The following is a 20,590-nucleotide window of genomic DNA, read 5'->3' as shown; positions in this document are numbered from 1 at the left end:
TTCCCGCCACTTGGAACAGCCCACAGCTGGAGGCATGCGTCAGGAGGAGCAGGGCCCTGTGGGCCCAGTGGGTGTGGAAGGTCATGTGTGGGGCAGTGTGTCTTCCAGAGGGCTCAGGAGTGTGGGGCTGGGAGCCACAGAGCCTGTGGCAGGCAGGCGTGACCAGGGACAAGTGTGTTGCCGGGGAAGACAGACCCGGAGGATCAGCGAGGCCAGGCTTCCCAGCGGTGGAGCCCCTGGACAAGGTTGTGTCCCTGTGGGAGGCAGAGGGCTTTTTCAGCCTTCATTTCAGGAACAATGACATGAAGCCCTGAGAAGGAGGAGCTCAGCCAGGAGCGGAAGGAGCTGGGCTTGAGCCCGGGGTTCAGTTCTACCAAACCCAGTCCAGAGCTGGCACCTGTCGGCAGCCAATGAGCACATTAAAAAATGTGATGAGGCTGGGCAATGGCTCACACCTGTAAACACAGCACTTTGGGAGGCTGAGGTGGGAGTATTGCCTGAAGCCAGTCCAAGACCAGCCTGGGCACACAGTGAGGCCCCCATCTCTGCAAAAAATATAAATAAAAAAAATCAGGCCTGGTGTGGTGGCTCATGCCTATAATCCCAGCAATTTGGGAGGCTAAGGCAGGTGGATTGCTTGAGGTTAGAAGTCCAAGACCAGCCTGACCAACATAGTGAAAACACATCTCTACTAAAACAAAAACAAAAACAAAAATTACCCACGTATGGTGGTGCACGCCTGTAATCCCAGCTACTCAGGAGGCTGAGGCAGGAGAATCGCTTGAACCCAGGAGGCGGAAGTTGCAGTTAGCCGAGATTGCACCACTGCACTCCAGCCTGGGCGACAGAGCAATTAGCCGGGTGTGGTGGTGCACACCTGTAGTCCCAAGTACTCGGGAGGCTGAGGCGGGAGGATGACTTGGGCCCAGGAATTTGAGGTGGTAGTGAGCTGAGATCACACCACTGCACTCCACCCTCACTCCAGGGTGACAGGGTGAGGCCCTGTCTCAAAAAGTAAATAAATAAGTAAATGAAAAATAAAAATGTGACAAGACCAGGTGCTCATTGATGAGTGAATGGAAAAACGAAATGGGGTCCATCTGTGCCTGGAAAATTCTTCAGCCATAAAAAGGAGTGGAACGCTGACACAGGCTACATTGGGACGAACCTTGAGACCCTTCTGCAGAGTGAAAGATGCCGGTCACGAGAGGCTACATGCGTGTGCCTCTGTGTCTCCAGAATGCACACAACAGGCAAAGCCACAGCAGGGGTAAGGACTGGGGGTGTCTGGGCTGGGGAGGGGGAGAGGCAGGCGGCTGCTAATGGGGTGGGTTTTTTTTTGTTGTTGTTTTTTGTTTTTTGAGACGGAGTCTCGCTCTGTTGCCTAAGCTGGAGTGCAGTGGCGTGATCTCAGCTCACGGCAACCTCCACCTCCTGGGTCCAAGCAATTCTCCTGCCTCAGCCTCCCAAGTAGCTGGGATTATAGGCCCACACCACCACACCCAGCTAATTTTTGTATTTTTAGTAGAGACGGGGTTTCACCCTGTTGGCCAGGCTGGTCTTGAACTCCTGACCTCAGGTGATCCACCTGCCTCGGCCTCCCAAAGTGCTGGGGTTACAGGCCTGAGCCACCTCGCCTGGCCTGAATTCGCATTTTAAAAGAGTCTTGGCCAGGCACGGTGGCTCACGCCTGTAATCCCATCTACTTGGGAGGCTGAGGCATGAGAATTACTTGAACCTGGGAGGTGGAGATTGCAATGAGCCCAGATCACACCACTGCACTCCAACCTGGGCAACAGAGACTCTTAAATAAATACATAAAGTCTCATTTGCATAATTTCATGTAATGATGAGCAGAGCCCTCTGAAGGTCATTATCCGGGCAGCCTCTCATCTGAGCTGGGCTCGGAGCCTGGACTGTCCTCTCCCGGGAGCCCCTTAGGCTCCGTGTTTTCATGGGCCAAGGTTGCTGTCAGACTGCCTGAGTCCCCAGGGCTCTGAGTCCGGCAGATGGTGTCCACGCCCATTTCCTCTTCTTTCCGCCAGCCTCACTGTAGCCTGGCCTTGCTACCTGGCCACTTCCTCCGGGCCATGCCGCTCCGGAAAGGAGCCCAAGGGCAGCCTTCTGTGTGGGGGCCACTGCGCCATCCGTGGGCCATGTGGGCTGCTCCAGAGGGCAAGGTCCCCGGCCTCCCTGGGTCAATCAGAGCTGGCTGTGCTTTGTCTGTTTGGTGGTAGAGCTGCGCCGTGCTGGGGACGGGGGTGCACACAGGAGGAGGCTCCTTCGGTTGGAGCAGAGTTGGGGTTGGGGTGGGGGCCACCCTCTCCCCTGGCCTGGCGTGGAAGGAGAGAACAGGCATGATGTGTGTCTTCTGGAAGATGGCAATGGGCACGGAGCAGAAGAAGACCAAAGGCCCGCCTGCAGCTCCCGTGTTTTGGTAGGGGCATTGCGCGTGTTCAGGAAGTGTGAGGTTCCTGTCTTCTCTGACAGCAAGGGCTCGGATCAGGAGCCAGGGGTAGGAGCGCAGACCTCAGGGGGAGATAACCAACCTTCACTCCCTCTGTGTTCTCTGGGCCTGTTCCCAGGTCAGAGGGCTGTGCTGGGGAGGTACCACACAGTTGGACTCAGCTACAGCTAAGTTTTGATTGAAGGCTCCTCCCAGGCACTCACCCTCTTAACCCTCTCAAGTGAGCCCCCGCTGGGTGCCTGAGCTGCAGGAACCTGCAAAACACCTTTGTCCCTCCCAGGCTTCAGACTGACTTCAGAGTTTCTTTTCTTTTTTTCTTTTTTTTTTGAGATGGAGTTTCGCTCTGTCCCCAGGCTGGAGTGCAGTGGCGTGATCTCGGTTCACTGCAACCTCTGCCTCCCAGGTTTAAGTGATTCTTCTGCCTCAGCTTCCCGTGTAGCTGGTATTATGGGTGCGCATCACCACACCCGGCTAATTTTTGTATTTTTAGTAGAGACAGGGCTTCACCATGTTGGCCAGCATGGTCTTGATCTCTTGACCTTGTGATCCACCTGCCTCGGCCTCCCAAAGTGTTGGGATTACAGGCATGAACCACCATGCCCGGCCTCTTGTTGCTATTTAGAGGAGAACAAATGACTTACAATCTAACGCAGATCAGAAGTGACTGCCAGTGTTTCTGACTGAGACTTAGATAACGAGTCACTCTGATGTTTGCACAGCAGTTTGAAGCAACACGATGTCTCCTTTTGTGAAATTAACTCTGAAATGGCCCCACGTTTAAAGAAGTGACTTTATTCTGCTTTGATATTTCAGCTCATTTTGAAACCCAAGCTTGGTCTCCTCTCTTTGCCGTGTGAATTGTCTATGGATTCCGGCTGAAAGCGGCGGACCCTGGCTGGTGGGTGCAGGTGCAGTACAGTTAGAGCTGGAGGCAGTCCTGCCTCGTGCAGCCACTGCCGGCGCTCGGGATGTAACCACTTGGACCCTCTGTTTCGTCTTCAGTAAAACAAAGCCAGCACCAAAAGGGTTAAGATTGGAACAGACTTTCCTCAACTCTGATCCATGGACCTGTGCGTTGGTGCCAATGTCTTCATCGATGTACAGTGAAACGAGGAAAAGGAGCGCCAAGTGGAATAAATCATTCATGTGGGCCGGGCGCGGTGGCTCACGCCTGTAATCCCAGCACTTCGGGAGGCCAAGGCAGGTGGATCGCTTGAGCCCAGGAGTTTGAGAGCAGCTTGGGCAACATAGGGAGAACTCGTCTCTATTAAAAAAAATAATACTTTCGTGTAAAAGGCTTTTTGTGCAGAGATTGTGCTATCCTACTGTATTTGGTGCTAAAAGGTGCTTTTATGAGATATTGAGACTATTGAGCAATAGTTAAAAAAATTAATGTCAGTATCTGGAAAAAACATAAGGTTAGAGTCCTATGCTAACCCGGAAGTGATTGTCGACAGTTTTCTGGTTTGTGATTTTTCCAAAGTCTGGGGACCCCTGTTCGGGGTGGCGCTGCCTCACTGGTGCCTTCAGGTGAACCCTGGCTGGGGGAAGAGTCCCCGGGAGGGAGCTGGGCCCAGCTATTCAGCCCAGCCAGAGCAGAGAAGGCAGTCGGTCAACATGCAGGCCCTGCCCCGGGCTTTGGTGCCAGATAAAGGGATGTCCCAGGAGTTCCTCTGAGACCCTGGAGCCTGTGGCTGGTGCGTGTGGGAGGAAGGGAGGTGTGAGCCAGGCGCCCAGACCACAGGGCTGGTGGGTGGGGCAGGAAGAGGGCCAGTGCCCCACATGAACCTGCCAGGGCTGTGGGCCTGGAAGCCCCTTCCCCCGGGAGGGTGACAGGGTCATTGACGGTGACCACCTGGCTGGTGCTGACGTGGAGGGTGGGGATTGGAGCCACTGGGGTGGGACCCTCTGGCCATCCACTGGGAACCCCACCTTACAGGGGAAAGGGCAGTGGCGGTCAGGCTGCTGTCAATCCCTACTGTAGTGTGTGGGTGGGGGCTCCGTGCCCTGGAGACCCCCGATCATCTTTCTGGCCACAGGATGTCCTGCCTGTTCTATGCCTCCTGGGTGTGGGGGGAACCAAGGGTCCAGGAGGGGAACTGTGCAGTCTCATGGATCAAAAGGGCCAAGGTGGGGTGAGGCCAGGGTGTCTGCAGCCCAAGCACATACCCATGAGTTTCACACTTGGATGGTTGTCACCCTCTGTTCCCTCACCTTCCCCACCCTCTGTCCCCTCACCTTCCCCACCCTCTGTCCCGTCGCCTTCCCCACCCTCTGTCCCGTCGCCTTCCCCACCCTCTGTCCCCTCGCCTTCCCCACCCTCTGTCCCCTCGCCTTCCCCACCCTCTGTCCCCTCGCCTTCCCCACCCTCTGTCCCCTCGCCTTCCCCACCCTCTGTCCCCTCGCCTTCCCCACCCTCTGTCCCCTCGCCTTCCCCACCCTCTGTCCCCTCGCCTTCCCCACCCTCTGTCCGGTCACCTTCCCCACCCTCTGTCCCCTCGCCTTCCCCACCCTCTGTCCCGTCACCTTCCCCACCCTCTGTCCAGTCACCTTCCCCACCCTCTGTCCCCGCACCTTCCCCACCCTCTGTCTCCTCACCTTCCCCACCCTCTGTCCCCGCACCTTCCCCACCCTCTGTCCCCGCACCTTCCCCACCCTCTGTCCGGTCACCTTCCCCACCCTCTGTCCCCTCGCCTTCCCCACCCTCTGTCCCCTCGCCTTCCCCACCCTCTGTCCCCTCGCCTTCCCCACCCTCTCCTCGCCTTCCCCACCCTCTGTCCCCTCGCCTTCCCCACCCTCTGTCCCCTCGCCTTCCCCACCCTCTGTCCCCTCGCCTTCCCCACCCTCTGTCCCCTCGCCTTCCCCACCCTCTGTCCCCTCGCCTTCCCCACCCTCTGTCCCCTCGCCTTCCCCACCCTCTGTCCCCTCGCCTTCCCCACCCTCTGTCCCCTCGCCTTCCCCACCCTCTGTCCCCTCGCCTTCCCCACCCTCTGTCCCCTCACCTTCTCCACCCTCTGTCCCCTCACCTTCTCCACCCTCTGTCCCCTCACCTTCCCCACCCTCTGTCCCCTCACCTTCTCCACCCTCTGTCCCCTCACCTTCCCCACCCTCTGTCCCCTCACCTTCTCCACCCTCTGTCCCCTCACCTTCTCCACCCTCTGTCCCCTCACCTTCCCCACCCTCTGTCCCCTCGCCTTCTCCACCCTCTCTTCCCTCACCTTGTCCACCCTCTGTTTTCTCACCTTAGAAATGAGCAGAAAGGTGCAGAGATGGGCGATGGGTCTGGACAGATGTTTCTCCATAGACATACAGTGGCCAGTGAGCAGGGGGATGCTGCGTGGCACTGCCGGTCACTGGAGAATGCAGATTACAGCCCCAGTGAGACTCCGCTTCTCATGCATTCAGATGCTGAAGTCAGACAGTGCTGCAGCATGTGTTGGTGGGATGTGGAGGCCTGGCATGCACTGCTGATGGGAACAGCAATCGGTGTGACTGTTGTGGAAAGTAGGGTGACAGCCACTCAAAAGCTCAACCTCGGGCCTGGGTGCGGTGGCTTATGCCTGTAATCCCAGCACTTTGAGAGGCTGAGGAAGGAAGATTGCTTAAGTAAGGAGGTGGATACCAGACTGGGCAACATAGTGAGATGCCATCTCTACAAAAAGTAAAAAAAAATAGCTGGGAATGGTGCTGCACGCCTGTGGTCCTCAGCACCTAGGAGGCTGAGGTGGGAGGACCCCTTGAGCTCAGGAGGTTGAGGCTGCAGTGCACCGTGATGGCGCCATTGTTCGCCCTCTGCCTTTGATTGGAGAGTGATGATTTCCTCGTGCTGGCTGGAGACTGGAGCATCCCATGTGCATGCTTCCTGAACTTCTATCTGACTTTACTTGTATTATTATTATTGCAAAGGTAGAAACAAAAAGAGACGCAAGATGGTCGGGCACAGGACCCCTGTCCCCAGCTCATGAGGTGCCACCGGGATCTTTTTGCAGCCCTGGCCGGCCCTCTGTGCCCTGTGTCCCACCCTACTCCAAGTCCCAGCTATCCTGAGTCAGGTGCAGCAGCCTTCAGGAGCCAGTGGGGCTCACTGAAGCGGGTCTCACTGGCTGAGGTCCAGGCGTGAGCAGGGCTGGCCCCAGCTGGGAGCTCCTGAGGAGAACCAGCTGCTTATTCTGGAAGCCTCCCCGTTCCTTGGCTCATGGCACCCCCCCCATCTTCAAAGCCCATTGAGTCCTCCCATCCCACCTCTCTGGTATTCTTCCTGACCCCTCTTCCACTGATAAGAACTTTGTGATTATGCTGTGCCCACCAGGATGATCCAGGGTAATCTCTGTATCTTGGGTCAGCTGATGAGCAACCTCAACTTCCCCTGCAGCCTTAACTCCCCTCTGCTGCATGAGGCTGCGCCTTCACAGGCTCCCCCTGGGGATGAAAACACAGGCATCTTTGGGGCCATTCTTCTGCCAGCCGCCCCTCTCCCGGCATCGTTGTCTATGTCTGCTGCCTGTATTTGAATCCAGTGTACGTGCACACCTGAGTGGCCCTGCATCTCCCGGCAGCGTCCATGGTAAGATTCCCTGTGCTGACTCACAGAGCCAGACGTGGTGGCCCAGGCCCATAATCCCAGCTACTCAGGAGGCTGAGGCTGGAGAATCGCTTGAACCTGGGAGGCGGAGGTTGCAGTGAGCCAAGATGGAGCCACTGCACTCCAGCCTGGGCGACAGAGCAAGACTCCGTCTCAAAAAAAAACCCAAAAACAAAAAAAAACAAAAAAACTAGTAGTTAGACTGTGTGTTACCATGTGCTGATGTTTATTAGTTACTGAACTTGGGATTAACTGACTTCTTTGTCAACAAGGTCTAAACCAAGCCACACACCCTCATGGTAGCCTCTTCCAAGTCTGAGGTTTGCTGAGGGAGGGTGAGTGCAGCCCTGAAGTGGGAGCAACCGAAGCACAAAGCATGATGTGAGCAGGAGCCCAGCTCCCTCCAGCCACTGCAGACATTGCATCAAAAACTGCCCCCGTGTTGGCCAGGTGCGGCGACTCATGCCTGTGATCCAAGCACTTTGGGAGGCTGAGGCAGGAGGACCAATCGAGCACAGCGGTTCACAGACCAGCCTGGGCAATATAGTGAGACCCTGTCTCTTATTTTATCTATTTATTTATTTATTTTTGAGACAGAGTCTCGCTCTGTCACCCAGGCTGGAGTCAGTGGCGCGATCTCCGCTCACCACAATCTCCGCTTCCCGGGTTCACGCCATTCTCCTGCCTCAGCCTCCCGAATAGCTGGGACTACAGGCGCCCACCACCACGCCTGGCTAATTTTTTGTATTTTTTTAGTAGAGATGGTGTTTCACCGTGTTAGCCAGGATGGTCTCAATCTCCTGACCTCTTGATCCACCCATCTTGGCCTCCCAAAGTACTGGGATTACAGGCGTGAGCCACCCCGTCCGGCCCCTGTCTCTTCATAATAAAATTTTTATAATGAAGAAATTGCCTTGGTGTGTTCCATGGTGGTGTCTGTGATTGTGGGAACCAGTTTTCTTTTCCTTGGCTATTTTCAAATTTCACTGGTCCTTTAAAAAAACACACAGTAGAACTTTAAAACAACAACAACTAAAGTCGTACATTGACACCCAACAAACACCACAGCTCCTGGTGAGGTGAGAAGTGGCTTTTGACTCACAGGGAGTCAGGGCTGCACTGAGCAGTTTGCAAATCTCAGCTCCAATGATCATGAGGTATGAACAAACTCGCCAAGGCTACCTGCCTGAAACCACAAGTGCAGCCAACAATGATGATCTTTGGTAGTGCTTTTTTTTTTCTTTTTTTTTTTTTTTTTGAGACGGAGTCTTGCTCTGGCGTCCAGGCTGGAGTGCAGTGGTGCGATCTTGGCTTCTTGGCTCATTGCAACCTCTGCCTCCCAGGTTCAAGTGACTCTCCTACCTCAGCCTCCCGAGCAGCTGGTACTACAGGCGCCAGCCACCATGCCTGACTGATTTTTGTATTTTTAGTAGAGACGGAGTTTCACGTATTGGCCAGGCTGGTCTCGAACTCCTGACCTTGTGATCTGTCTGCCTTGGCCTCCCAAAGTGCTGGGATTACAGGTGTGAGCCACCACACCCGGCCTCCCAGAGTGCTGGGATTATAGGTGTGAGCCACCGTGCCTGGCCAATCTTTGATAGTTGTACTGATTATTTTCATCATTACCATGATCGTCACTATCATCATCATTATCACACACTATTGTCACCATCACCACCATCATCAGAATGTGCGTTTTCAACTTTAGAAATGAAAAATGCCATAAAAAATATTCACCGCAGATTAAGCAACAGATAACACACTGGTAAAGAGGGAATTTATTGACCAGAAAGTAGATCAGAAGAAATGACCCATTAGGAGTGCAGAGAGATAAGGAGATAGAAAATCTGAAAGAGAAGCTAAGAAGTACAGAGTAGAGAAGAGAATCTAATATAAATCTAATCAGAGTTCCAGAAAGGAGAGCAGAGGGAATGGGGAAAGGCAACATTCAAAAACAAAATGGCTGGGGATTTTTCAAAAATGTTGAAAGGTAAGAATTCTCGGATGTAGGAATGCCAACGAGGATGCACACTTAGTGAACTGTATACAATTGCAGGCTGTTAACGGTGAACCGATCCTGAAAGAGGTGATGATAAAGAAATACAGCTGACTACTCTTCATCAACAATGAGAGTCAGAGAAAAGTGGAAGCACATCTTTTCCTTTGTTTTTTTTTTTTGAGACAGAGTTTCACTCTTGTTGCCCAGGCTGGAGTGCAATGGCACCATCTCGGCTCACTGCAACCTCTGCCTCCCGGGCTGAAGTGATTCTTCTGCCTCAGCCTCCTGAGTAGCTGGGATTACAAGCATGTGCCATCACGCCTGGCTAATTTTTTGTATTTTTGGTAGAGACAGGGGTTTATCCATGTTGGTCAGGCTGGTCTCGAACTCCCGACCTCAGGTGATCTACTCGGCTTGGCTTCCCAAGGTGCTGGGATTATAGCCGTGAGCCACCATGCCAGGCCTAGCACATCTTCAAAGAATGAGAAAAGTGAACTGTCAAGCTGGATGGAGTGTCCAGCCAACTTCTCGTTCAAGAATTATGGCACAATAAAAGCTTTTCAGAGAAAACAGTAGCATAGTTTTGCCCAGTCAGGCCCTCATTAATGAACATTTACAGGATGCTATTAAGGAAGAAAGAACGCAACGCCAGGAGGTTGTGCTGGGATGGCTTGTGACCCAGCAATCTCCACCATCCATGGCCAGGCGGCATTTGAGGGGGCTGCACCTGCCCGCCAGGTGCACTGGAGCTGCCTATCCACCTGCTGCTGGCACCTGGTGCTTCCCATTCCCGCACCGCCCATCTGATTGGTGCCAGCCGCATCTCTTCATTTATAATTCGCCCTCCCTGACAATGTCTTCCCACCAGGCTCCTCCCTGTCTCCGGCCTTCCTGTGGGATGTGCAGACACTGGATCCCAAGCCAGGACTCGAAACTTCAAGCCCAGGCTCTGGAGACTTCCTTGCCACCTCCATGTTTGATTGTGGAAGGAAGGAGGGGCCAGCTCTCTGGCCCTTCCCAGCAGATGGCAGGAGGGACAAACTTGCTGGCTCTGTGCCCCTTCGGAGGCCCCAGTTGGCAGGGTCTAACGAGGAGTGCAGCCAGCTGGTTAATGGGGAGAACCTCGGGGGAGGTGACAGCAGCCACAGTGACAGTTGCCCAACAATCAATGTGCCCAGGCCAGGCAGGCTGGTGGGGGAGATGCATTGCAGGGGACATGAGAGCACAGCCCATAAGGACGGCCCCCAGCCTCTTGAGAGGCCCAAGCCTGCTTTCCATAGCCAGAGACCCTATTAGAGCCAAGGGCGGGCCACCCACATGCAGCCTCTGAGCTGTTCTGAGGTAGGAAACCAGCAGGACATTTCTGGTCACAACCTTGCTGACCAAAACGTGATCTGGTCCAGAAAGGATAAAGTAAGGAAAGCAGCAGGAACCAGCAGATGGCGAGGAAGGCGATCCCTAGCTGCCTCATTGTTCTCTGGCATAACACAGTCCCACCAGCCCCATGACAGTTTACAAACACCATGGCAACAGCCTGGACGTAACCTGCTTTACGTGGCAATGCTGGGGAAGTTATTGCCCCTTGCCTAGAAAGTCCTAAGTAACAGCCGGGCGCGGTGGCTCGTGCCTGTAATCCCAGCACTGTGGGAGGCTGAGGCAGGTGATCACCTGAGGTCAGGAATTCGAGACCAGCCTGACCAATATGGTGAAAACCTGTCTCTACTTAACATACAAAAATTAGCCGGGCGTGGTGGCAGGCTTCTGTAATCCCAGCTACTTGGGAGGCTGAGGCAGGAGAATCACTTGAACCCGGGAGATGGAGGTTGCAGTGAGCCAAGATCATGCCACTGCACTCCAGCCTGGGAGACAGAGGAAGACTCTGTCTCAAAACAAAACAAACAAAAAGAAAGTCCTAAGTAACCTGCTCCTCAATTTGCATTAACCCACCCTTTAATTTGCATGTAATTGAAGAGGGGTTTAAGTGGTTATAAATACAGTTGCCAAGAGCACTGTGGACTCTGGATGCACTGCCAGGGAGTTAGCCTTGCTCTGCAAGGAGTAAAATTGTTCAATAACAGACTGCTGCCGTCTAACACCCTGGCCTGCCCTTGAATTCTTTCCTGGCTAAGCCTCAATTGCGTGGCCCACCTGTCCTGCATCGGGAAGAGAATCAAGGCCACGTGCTGCCGGCTCACGGCAATAGCCGGGCGTGTGGGCCTTGGGTCTCTGCCTCAGGCTGGTGGCATACGCCCATGAGAGCATATGAGACCTTCTTTGAGCCATCAGCGGCCTCCTGGGGGGATCTGGGCTGTGCAGGAGGGGCCCAGAATTTCAGACTGGAGTTAGGGTGTGTGCCAGGCCTGCTCCAGCTTCTCCCGGCTGCTTGGGGTTTGGGGTTCAACACGGAGGACTCGGATTAGCCAGGACACCAAGGTCCTCTTCACCCTTCCCTGCCCCTTTCCGCCCCCCACCTGCACACGCCACACTCTCCTAGGCATTCCTTCAGCCTCAGCCCATGCCCTGCGTTCGAGGGTGGGGCTACTGCCCTCGCCACCCTGTTCACCAGGAGTGTCAGAGAAGGGGAGGGCCAAGTGTGCACTCCGCGCAGGGCAGGACACGGCCCTTGGGCAGAGATCTGGGTCCAGCTCTCTCCCTGCCCCGCCCCTGCCTCAGCTGACGAAGGCCTGGTGAGCAGGGCTGTGTGTGCTCCTGCTGGTGAGCTAGTGAGGTCGGCGCCCACGGTCTGGGCACCTGCTGTGAGTGCAGGTCTCACACGTGCCAGAGAGCAAACTGCTGGGAGCTGGTTAAATGCAGATTCCCAGGCCCTGGCCGGCAGGGAGGGAAGCAGCCAGACAGAAGCTGCTGCAGGTCTGTGGGCAGTGCTGGGGAGGCCTGGGGCTCTGAGGGGACAGAGGGGCTCTGAGGGTGCCAGATGGGGAGGCCGTGCTGGTGCGAGGGCCGCCGTGTGCAAGGCAGGGCTCAGGCTGTGTATTTCCCTTGCATCTTGGTGGTCACTCCTGTGACCCTGGGCAAGTCACCGTGCCTGGGAGCCCCCTGCTCCCTGCCCAAGGACAGCATCAGAGGATGTGCCTCCAGGGTCGTGTTGGAAGCAGCCTGGAACAGCCCTGTGAGGTTGGGATTCTGCCGGGTTCGCCACTCTCGCCAGGTCCAGGCCACCTGGCTGTCTGGTGGCCAAGCTCCTCCCGGGTGGCCAGTCACCTCCCCTGCTCCTTCCCTCGCTGTGGAAATGGATGCGCTTCCGAAAAGCTGCGAGACCTCCTGCTCTGCGCCTCCCTCCTCCATGCGTCCCGCCCTAACCCTAACCTCTGCCCGGAGCTCCCGACCCTCCCTGCCCCTGCCTGGCTCACCTCTGAGACACTCCCAGCCCGAGGTCCCGAGGCGAGTTCTGTCCACAGCTGCATGGTTTGCTCTTCTCTTCACCTCTCCCTGGCACCTCCAAGGAGGAGGGGGTTGGGTGTTGAGGGGGTGAGGCTGCCTCCTCCCAATCTTCCTCCCTCCCCCTCTGCAAGGCCCCGGCAGATACAGGGCAGGCCAGAGTGCAACGGCTTTGCTGCCTCCTGGCGTCCTGAGGCTCTGCCTGAGACTCCAAAGCTGGGCTCTCCCGAGGGGTCGGCTTGCGGGGGACAGGTGGGGACCGGTTTTCAGAGCAGACCCATCCGACGGTTGCCAGCTCACGCAGCCCCCCAGCCACAGGTGATGTCCTGCTCTGCATGTTGGTGTCCTGGTGTGGGAGACAGGGCCGGCAGTGGGGGCCCTCTCCACTCCCACCCTTCCTCAGGCAGGCTGGGGTGGGCTTCTGCTAGGCCTGAGCTTTCTGTAAGCCAGGGCGTGGCTGGGAGCCAGTGCCCAGCAGTACGGCTGGTGGTCGAGAACCGAGTGCTGGAAGCCAGCAGAGGGATGTGTCCTGGCCCAGCTGTGCCCGCCAGGTGCCTGGGCAGGAGGTGTGTCCCGATGGAACCTTGGGGCCCTCGTGCACAGTCAGGGCACTCAGCCCATGGTGTGGCTGAGAGGACAGACCCTGTGCCTGGCAGAGGAAGGGGCCTCAGGAGGGCGAGGCTGCCCTGCATCATCTCGTGGACGTTGTGTCCCAAGTAGCGTGAGGGACTCCCGGCAGGCTGGGCTGACCCTGCCTGGGAGTTGCCAGCCTGCAAGGGGCTTTGAGCTGTATGCAGCTCAGGTAGAAGGGAGCAGGTGCCCTCCTGGAAGAAGGAGGGTGGAGGCGGGAGGCCCATCCTGTGCAGGGCAGGGGACGGGTACAGCCTGGCTGGGTGGCCCTGAGGGGGACCTTTTAAGCCAGTCTTGAGGAGAGAAGGAGTTTCACAGGCAAAGCTGGGGGGAGTGGGGAGGGGGGAGGAGTGGGGAGAGAGCAGCTTGGAATGCAGCGGTCCGAGATCCAAGAAGCTCAGGTCACACATGGGACTCAGTGGACAGTGTGATTGGAGAGTGGGCTGTGACGGTGGCCGTGTGCCATGAGTGGACAGTGTGGCTGGAAAGTGGGCTGTGACAGTTGGACTGACTGCTGGGCATGGGGAGGGGCTGGCTGTGGTCCACACACACCCCTGTGACTTCAACAGATGCAGACCCCTCCTCTGTGTCGGCCACTTGTGGGTGCCTGGGAGGCAGAGGTCAAGCAGGCGCAGCCCCAGCTTTCAAAGGAGACAGGCCAGTAGGCGACGGGCAAGAGGACAGAGATGCAGAGTGACCGTTCCTACGTGGGAGTGAGCTGGGGACAGAGGTGCAGAGTGACCATTCCTACACGGGAGCGAGCTGGGGACAGAGGTGCAGAGTGACCGTTCCTACGCGGGAAGTGAGCCAGGGACAGGTCTGAGGGGGCACCTAAGCTGAGAGCTGGATGACAAGGACAGCCTCGGAGGAGTAGAGAGGGCATCAGGAGGCACTGCCTGGAGCAACCAGCTGCAGCATGGAGCCCAGCGGGTGGTGGGCTTAGCAGGGCCAGGGGCTGCCGTCGGGACAGGCCGCCAACGGGAGGCTCCTCTCCTCTGTGCTGAGGCAGAGAAGGGGGACTTCTGACCTCTGAAGGATGGGGCCAGTAACAGAAGGGGTTTTACGCGAAGCACAGGCACCTGGGGGCGGGGACGGGCCTCAGAGCAGGGTGAGCCTGGGAGAGGGGAGCGGTGGCAGCTGTGTGAGGAGTGGACCCTCGAGATTTGGAAGCGGCTGTTCAGAGAGACTCAAGGGTGAAGTCCCAGGTCTGGGAGTCGGCGATGGTGGATGGGTTTGGGAAGCGGTGGGATTTGGACAAATCAAGCATTGCTTTGACAATGAAGGGTGAATAGGCAAGGCTGATGCTCTCCAGCTTGAGGGGCAGGGGGCCACTGAGGATGCCTATGCAGGTGAGGGGAGGAGACAGGTGGGCTGGTGGGGAGACAGGTGGGCTCGGGGTGATGCCTGTGCAGGTGAGGGGAGGAGACAGTGAGCCAGGGGGGTGCTTGCACTGGTGTGGGGAGACAGGTGGGCTTGGGGGAGGGGAACACCTGCACAGGTGTGGGCAGAAGTTACAGGTGCGTGGGGTTACAGTCACTCATGGTACATCAAGGGCCTGGAAGGACACAGGGGCTGTAGGTCTGCAGGTCTGGGGCTCAGGGGAGGCGTGGCTAGACTACAGAATTAGTGGAGAGAAGACCATGAGCCCACCCCAGGAGTGTGGAGGGAGAACTTCAAGGGGAGACCAGGGCAGACTCAGAGCCTTGAACCTGGCTCAGCAGAGAACCAGCTGGGGGGCCGAGGGGGTGTCTGTGAGCAGGGCAGGCAGCTTCCTGGGGAGAGGCGGGAGAAGGCCTGGGCCACCACCGAGTCAGCGGCTACAGGGGAGGCACAGGGTGGAGGCCCAGGCGGTGGTCTGGTGGGGGGAGACTGGGGTGATGGCTTGAGGGAGTAGGGGTGACTGATGGCGTCTGCCAGGTGTGGGGGCCCCAGGGTCTGTGCAGAAGACGCGTGCCCGAGGCGAGTCCTGGGTGCGATGGGGACGGGCTCTGGCCACACGCCAATGACCTGGGACGGGCGATGGCAGCGGTACCCAGCCCTGCATGGTGGGGACAGTAGGGGGTTATGCAAGCCAGGACAGGCGCAGGGCCCTTCGTGAGGCTCAGTGTGCTGCCCTAAGCTTCGAGTCCGGGCCGTGGCGGGGCCCTCTGGGGTGACTTCAGGTCTGGGTCCCGGTCACAGGGTCCTTGCTGCCTCTGAGATGAGCCCCCAGGAAGGGTTGCCAGGCCCGAACTCCCACTCCTGCGGCACAGGTGTGGACACTGAGGCACGTCTGGGTGCATGGCGGGTTTGTGCGGCACTGCTGGGCTGTCTTCCAGATTCTCCTCTGCGTCTTGCATTCCAGGGCCTCGCTTGGTCAGGTTTGGGGTGGGGCTCAAAGGGGGTGAGGACACTGGAGTTGTGTTTTTTACCCCCTTTGAGCACCTGTCACTCACCAGAGACTGTATTCGTAGTTTCTAGACACCTTTAAACAGTTTACTTTTAAATGTACACACAGTGACAACCCCCCACCAGGTTTCTATTTTTTAGAACATCTTGTACCCTGCGCCCGCACCTGGGGAGGACTTGGGGGCAGAGCCTCCTGAACCCTCCACGCAAATTCATGCACAACAATGCAAATGATGAGCAGACTTGAGGGGTCCGTGCCTCCCGTCCCCGCTATCACCTGGTCTTCAACAGAAGGGGTGTCTGTGAGGAAAAGGCTGCTTGCCTTCCCTGGAGCTCAGGTCCCTGGGAGGGGGTGGAAGCCATGTCTGTCCATTGGCCTTGGCTACGGGCCCCATCTGGCCAGACCCTAGTGGGCAGGTGGACAAAGACATCAGAGACCACTGAAAGCGCTGCAGACCCAGGCCCACGAGCTGCGGGCAGGAGAGCGAGCCCTGGACTGGCTGGGAAGTGCCTCGGGCTTCTGAGGCAAGAGGCCGCTGCCTTCTTTGCCTGCACTCACCAGGGCTGCTGGGCAAAGCTGAAAAAAATGCAGCTAGTTCAAGTAGAGTTGGAAATGGGCTGGGAATGGTAGCTCGCGCCTGTCATCCTAATGTTCTGGGAGGCTGAGGCTGCAGGAGCACTGGAGGTCAGGAGTTTGAGACCATCTTGGGCAACACAGGAAGACCCTGTCTCTATAAAAATGTTTTAAAAGTTAGCCAGGTGTGGTGGGTCAAGCCTGTAGTCCCAGCTACTTGGGAGGCTGAGGCAGGAAGATGGTTTCAGCTCAGGAGTTTGAGGCTGCAGTGACTTATGATCGTGCCACTGAACTTCAGCCTGGGGAACCGAACAAGACCTTAGCTCTAAAAAATATAGGGTTGCCCAGCCTGGGCAACATAGGGAGACACCATTTCTACAAAAAACACAAAAACTAGCTGGGCATGGTGGTGTACACCTGTAGCCCCAGCTACTGAGGAAACTGAGGTGGGAAGATCACTTGAGCTCACGAGGTCAAGGCTGCAATGAGCCGTGAGTATCCCAGGGACTCCAGCCTGGGCAAGAGAGTGAGACCCAAAAATAAAAAAATAAAGTGACGTTGGGAATAGAAGAGTGTTTTTGTTCTCCAGTGAGAAAGCACGCTGGAGGCTGCCCACAGCCACCCAGCTGCAAACGGCACGGTGACACCGTGGCTGAACGCGGTCAGCCAAGTACTCCCTCAGTGTGGCCGGCCCATACAGCCCAGCAGGGCAGGGAAGACGGGGGGTGGGGGTGCCCTGACCCTTGCACCGACTCAGCCACCACAGGTGACTCCACCACACGGTTGTCCTCAGCCCTGGCTCTGAGGGAGAGATGCACCCACCAGTGAGCATCAGGACCCCCTCGAGGCCAGGGAATGCTTCGGCCTCGGTCTCCCTCTCCTGTCCACCTACTCGCCTGTTCTTCCCCCAGCCTTGGCCACCACAGGGCTTCATCCTCCCCAGGGCGCCCCCACCCCTGCCATCCCTGGTGGTCTGTGACTGGATGGGGGACATCGGACCCCCAGGACCATGCAGGGTTGGGGGATGGCCAGCCAGGTCAGTGCCCCTCTCTTCCGTGTCTGGCGGCCAAGTAGACCGTGGAGAGGGTCAGCAGTGTGGAGGCTGCTCTCCCTAGGGGGGTATGGACAGGGCTGGGGTGGGGTAGGCCCAGAGCGGCTGGCCCTGCAGTGGTTCAGTGTGTGCTGTGGCCTCCGACCTGACGCTCGGTCTAGCTCTTAGCACCCAGTGGTGTAACTCCGGCAGGGGCCCAGCCACTCCGGGCCGCAGTGGCCTGTGTACACAGCAGGGCTGGATGTGACACTGGCTGCGTGTGCCTGCTGGCTCAGAGAACTAGGCTGGCCCACCACCATGCTCATCAAACTGAACTTCTTTATTAAGTGCCAAGGGTCCAGGCGGGCGCTGCCCCCTGCGGCCCCCTCCGCCGAGGCCTGTGCGTGGCGGGGTTCCCAGGAGCGGCAGTCCGTGCGGCCTGGGGGCGGCCCCCTCCCCGCATCGCAGCGGGGCGTGCAAAGCGTCTGCGGCTGTAGTGTGGGCGCTCACTTCACGTGCTCGGCGGCGTGCGAGGAGCAGTAATACTTCTTGTGGGCGATGAAGGTGGACAGGCTGCTGAACTTGATGTTGCAAAGACGGCAGTACCGGTGGTTGCCGTTGGGCAGCGGCGCCGGCGTGCCCTTGCTGGGAGTCTGGACGCCCTTGTCCGAGTAGGAGGGGGGCGCCGGCGGGGGCGGCACGGCCTCGGGCGCGGCGGCCGGGGACGGGGGCGGGCCGGGCGGCGGCTCCTGGGGCTCCGGGCCGAGGCCGTCCCGGGGGCCACGGGACCCGGGCTGCGGGGAGGCGGCGGGGGCGGGAGCGGGCGAGGGGCCGCGGTCGGCCGGCGTCCGGGCCTCGACCCCCGGGCCGGCCAGGGGCGCGCCGAGCAGCAGGCCGTGCGCCAGGCGGAAATGCTCCAGCAGGTCCCCGCGCACCGGGCCGTTCGGGGGGCAGTAGGGGCAGGCGGCGGCGGGCAGGCCGAGCGCGCCGGGCGGTGGCGCAGCGGGGCACGAGTACTTCTTGTGCGCCAGGTAGGCCTCGAGGCTGTGGAAGCTCACGCGGCAGGCCGTGCACTCGTGGTAGTCGGCCAGCGCCGGTGCCGGGGCTCCGGGGAGCGGGCGCCGCGGCTTCTTGCTCAGGTCGATGGGGCCGTCGGCCGCGGGGCCGGGCGAGCGCGCAGGGGCGAGGCCGGGGCCGCTTCCGCTTCCGCTTCCGGGCCGCGGCGACTCGGGCGCGGGGGCGTGGCCGGGCGGCGGGGGGGGCGGGGCGCCGGCCGCGTGCAGCTCGTAGAGCTTGCGGCGTCTGCGCGTGCGCACAGGCGCGGCGGGAGAGGGGGCCGGGGGCGCGGCCGGCCCAGGGGGTCCCGGGGGCGCGGCCGGTCGGCGCGGCGGCGGGTCGTGGCGCGAGGCGCAGTAGTACCGCTTGTGCACGGTGTAGGTCTCGTGGCGGCTGAAGCGGATGTTGCAGGCCTCGCACAGCGTGCGGCTGGGGTCGTCCTCCGCGTCGTCCACGGAGCTACCCGGGCTCTGGCTGCCCTCGCTGCCCCGGCCGCCCGCGCCGTCCTCGGGCGTGGCCGCGCCCCCAGCCCCCTCCTCGCGCGCTCCGGGGCCCGGGGACGAGCGCGGCGCGTCGGGTTCGGCGGGCTGGCCGGGGGGCGCGCGGGCCGGGCCGGGGGGCGCCTTGGGCCTGCGCGCGGCAGGCGCGTCCTCGGGCGCACGGCGGCCTGAACAGTAGAGGCGCTTGTGCACGTAGTAGTTGTTGACGTTGCTGAAGGTGATCTCGCACTCGAAGCACGTAGCGCCCTTGGGGGCCCCGGGGAAGAGCCCGGTCTGCGCGCCGCCGGCGCCCGCGCCCGCGCCCTGCTGCAGCCGGCTGTGCACCAGCTCGGACATCTTGGCCAGGATCTCCGAGGCGGGGGGCGCCGCGTCGGGCCCGAACACGTACTGCGGAAGGAACAGGGCCCCGGCCAGGCCCAGCTCGCCGGGCACCGGGCTGGAGCCCGGCGTGGGGCTGGACAGCTCGGCCTTGACCCTGGCCGGGGCGGGGCTGCGCGGCGACGGCGTCCGCGACGGGGCCTGGGGCCCAGGCTCTCCGGGGCCCAGGATGGGGGCCGCCTCCGGCTCCTCCACCGCCTCCACCTTGATGCTCCTGGGGGCCGCCGGGGGCTCGCTGCTGCCTCCATTCTGGGCCAGAGGCTCCGCTCTGGCCTCTCCGTTGGTGGCCTCGGCCAGGGCCTTTCTGTCCAGTCCTGGCGATGGGGTGGGCGCCAGGCCCAGGTCCGCGGAGGCCAGGGGGCCTTGCAGGGCCGTGTGCTGCTGCTGGAAGCTGCCCAGACTGTCTGCAGAGAGATCGCAGGGGTGGCACCTCAGGCCTGGGGCAGGACCTGGCCGGTCAGAGCTGGAGGGCGAGCTCCGGAAGGGGAGGGGTGGGCGGGAGTGGTTTAGAGCGAAGGCTGAAACGGACCCCCACCTGTCTTGGGCGACAAGCCCACTCCCTTCCCACTGCTCAGGGGGCCTAAGGGGCAGGGGTGGCCCCCACAGGGCTGCTCACCTGGGGGCAGCTTGGTTGCTGGGTGTCCGGCCCCTGGCGAGTAGATCTCACCCTTGGAGCCAGGCTGGCAGACCATGTGGTTGGTGACCAAGTGGCTGTAGAGGATGTCCCTTGTGGTGGAGATGAAGCCACAGCTGTGGCAGACACCTGTGGGCCATGGCGAGGTGGTCAAGGCCCAGGGCGGGGAGGCGGGACCCACACACCCCCCGGCCCCTGCGGTGCCTACCGCTCAGCGTGTCCGTGTGCACCTTGAGGTGCCGCTCGCAGTTGGCCTTGGTGGTGAAGGCCGACAGGCAGATCAGGCACACGAAGGGCCGCTCTCCTGGAACACAGGGCGCGTAAGAGCGGTGCCCGGGCCAGCTTAACCTTGGGACTCCAGGGATGAGGAAGGCGACTGGGCCCAGGGCCGTGATCTGTGCCGGGGGACCCTGTGCTGAAGGGTCTTTAAACCCCTCCTCCTCCTCCTCCGCCTTTTGTCTCTCGGGACAGCAGTGGGCCCAGCCCTCAGCTGACTACCCAGATAGCCCACAGTCCGGCCTGCCTGCTCTGGGCCCCTGCGGGGGCCCTGGGTGTGCCGGAGACCGCGCAGGTGAATGGTGGCACCGTGTGTGCTTGCATGTGGGTTTTCCCGGGCGGCCTGCGGGACTGGGTGGGGAAGCAGCCGGCATCCTGAGGACCCGCGTCCGGGGTGGGGGCTCACCGCTGTGGCTGCGCATGTGGATCTCCAGGGAGCTGGCGCTGGGGCAGCTCTTGCGGCACTGGGGGAAGGGGCAGACGCGCTCGTTGGGGTAGGTCTCTTTGGGCTTCTCGTCTGTGGCGGCTGCGGCCGGGGAGCCGGTGCCCTGGCGGCTGGCGCAGTAGTAGAGCAGGTGCGCCTGCAGGTTGCGCTCGCTGCGGTACCAGATGCCACAGTCCTTGCAGGGGAAGACGTCTTCTGTGGGGTGGGAAGCAGGCGGGGTCAGGCTGAAGGCCAG

General features: G+C 59.7%; 1 protein-coding gene across 6 annotated transcripts in view, besides 5 other annotated features; it reads right to left on the bottom strand.

The window, feature by feature from the left end:
- Nucleotides 12,256-12,858: an enhancer, noted in NCBI's record as "H3K27ac-H3K4me1 hESC enhancer chr16:88606102-88606704 (GRCh37/hg19 assembly coordinates)". NCBI's record gives its function as "activates a minimal SCP1, AML or CMV promoter by ChIP-STARR-seq in naive H9 embryonic stem cells {active_cell/tissue: H9 hESC(naive)}" and the evidence as "EXISTENCE:reporter gene assay evidence [ECO:0000049][PMID:30033119]".
- ZFPM1 (zinc finger protein, FOG family member 1) overlaps nucleotides 15,521-20,590 on the bottom strand; it is an 85,263-nt gene continuing 80,193 nt past the window's right edge. For all 6 annotated transcript variants that reach the window (XM_011522914.3, XM_047433667.1, NM_153813.3 and 3 more), the window contains 4 exons: nucleotides 20,317-20,550; nucleotides 19,843-19,938; nucleotides 19,617-19,763; nucleotides 15,521-19,404 (listed from right to left, as the gene is read on the bottom strand). In XM_011522914.3, coding sequence (XP_011521216.1) covers nucleotides 17,573-19,404; nucleotides 19,617-19,763; nucleotides 19,843-19,938; nucleotides 20,317-20,550 — 2,309 coding nt within the window. In that variant the 3' untranslated portion in view covers nucleotides 15,521-17,572. The remainder of the gene's footprint in view (nucleotides 19,405-19,616; nucleotides 19,764-19,842; nucleotides 19,939-20,316; nucleotides 20,551-20,590) is intronic.
- Nucleotides 17,905-18,364: a silencer, noted in NCBI's record as "silent region_7856". NCBI's record gives its function as "represses an Ori minimal core promoter by ATAC-STARR-seq in GM12878 lymphoblastoid cells {active_cell/tissue: GM12878}" and the evidence as "EXISTENCE:reporter gene assay evidence [ECO:0000049][PMID:35858748]".
- Nucleotides 17,905-18,567: a biological region, named in NCBI's record as "H3K27ac hESC enhancer GRCh37_chr16:88600393-88600954".
- Nucleotides 18,006-18,567: an enhancer, noted in NCBI's record as "H3K27ac hESC enhancer chr16:88600393-88600954 (GRCh37/hg19 assembly coordinates)". NCBI's record gives its function as "activates a minimal SCP1, AML or CMV promoter by ChIP-STARR-seq in naive H9 embryonic stem cells {active_cell/tissue: H9 hESC(naive)}" and the evidence as "EXISTENCE:reporter gene assay evidence [ECO:0000049][PMID:30033119]".
- Nucleotides 18,568-19,128: an enhancer, noted in NCBI's record as "H3K27ac-H3K4me1 hESC enhancer chr16:88599832-88600392 (GRCh37/hg19 assembly coordinates)". NCBI's record gives its function as "activates a minimal SCP1, AML or CMV promoter by ChIP-STARR-seq in naive H9 embryonic stem cells {active_cell/tissue: H9 hESC(naive)}" and the evidence as "EXISTENCE:reporter gene assay evidence [ECO:0000049][PMID:30033119]".

Source organism: Homo sapiens, chromosome 16 (assembly GCF_000001405.40).
Source record: "Homo sapiens chromosome 16, GRCh38.p14 Primary Assembly".
Taxonomy (NCBI): domain Eukaryota; kingdom Metazoa; phylum Chordata; class Mammalia; order Primates; family Hominidae; genus Homo; species Homo sapiens.
Note: the sequence above shows the minus strand (reverse complement) of the source record. Positions and strands in the feature narration are given on the sequence as shown.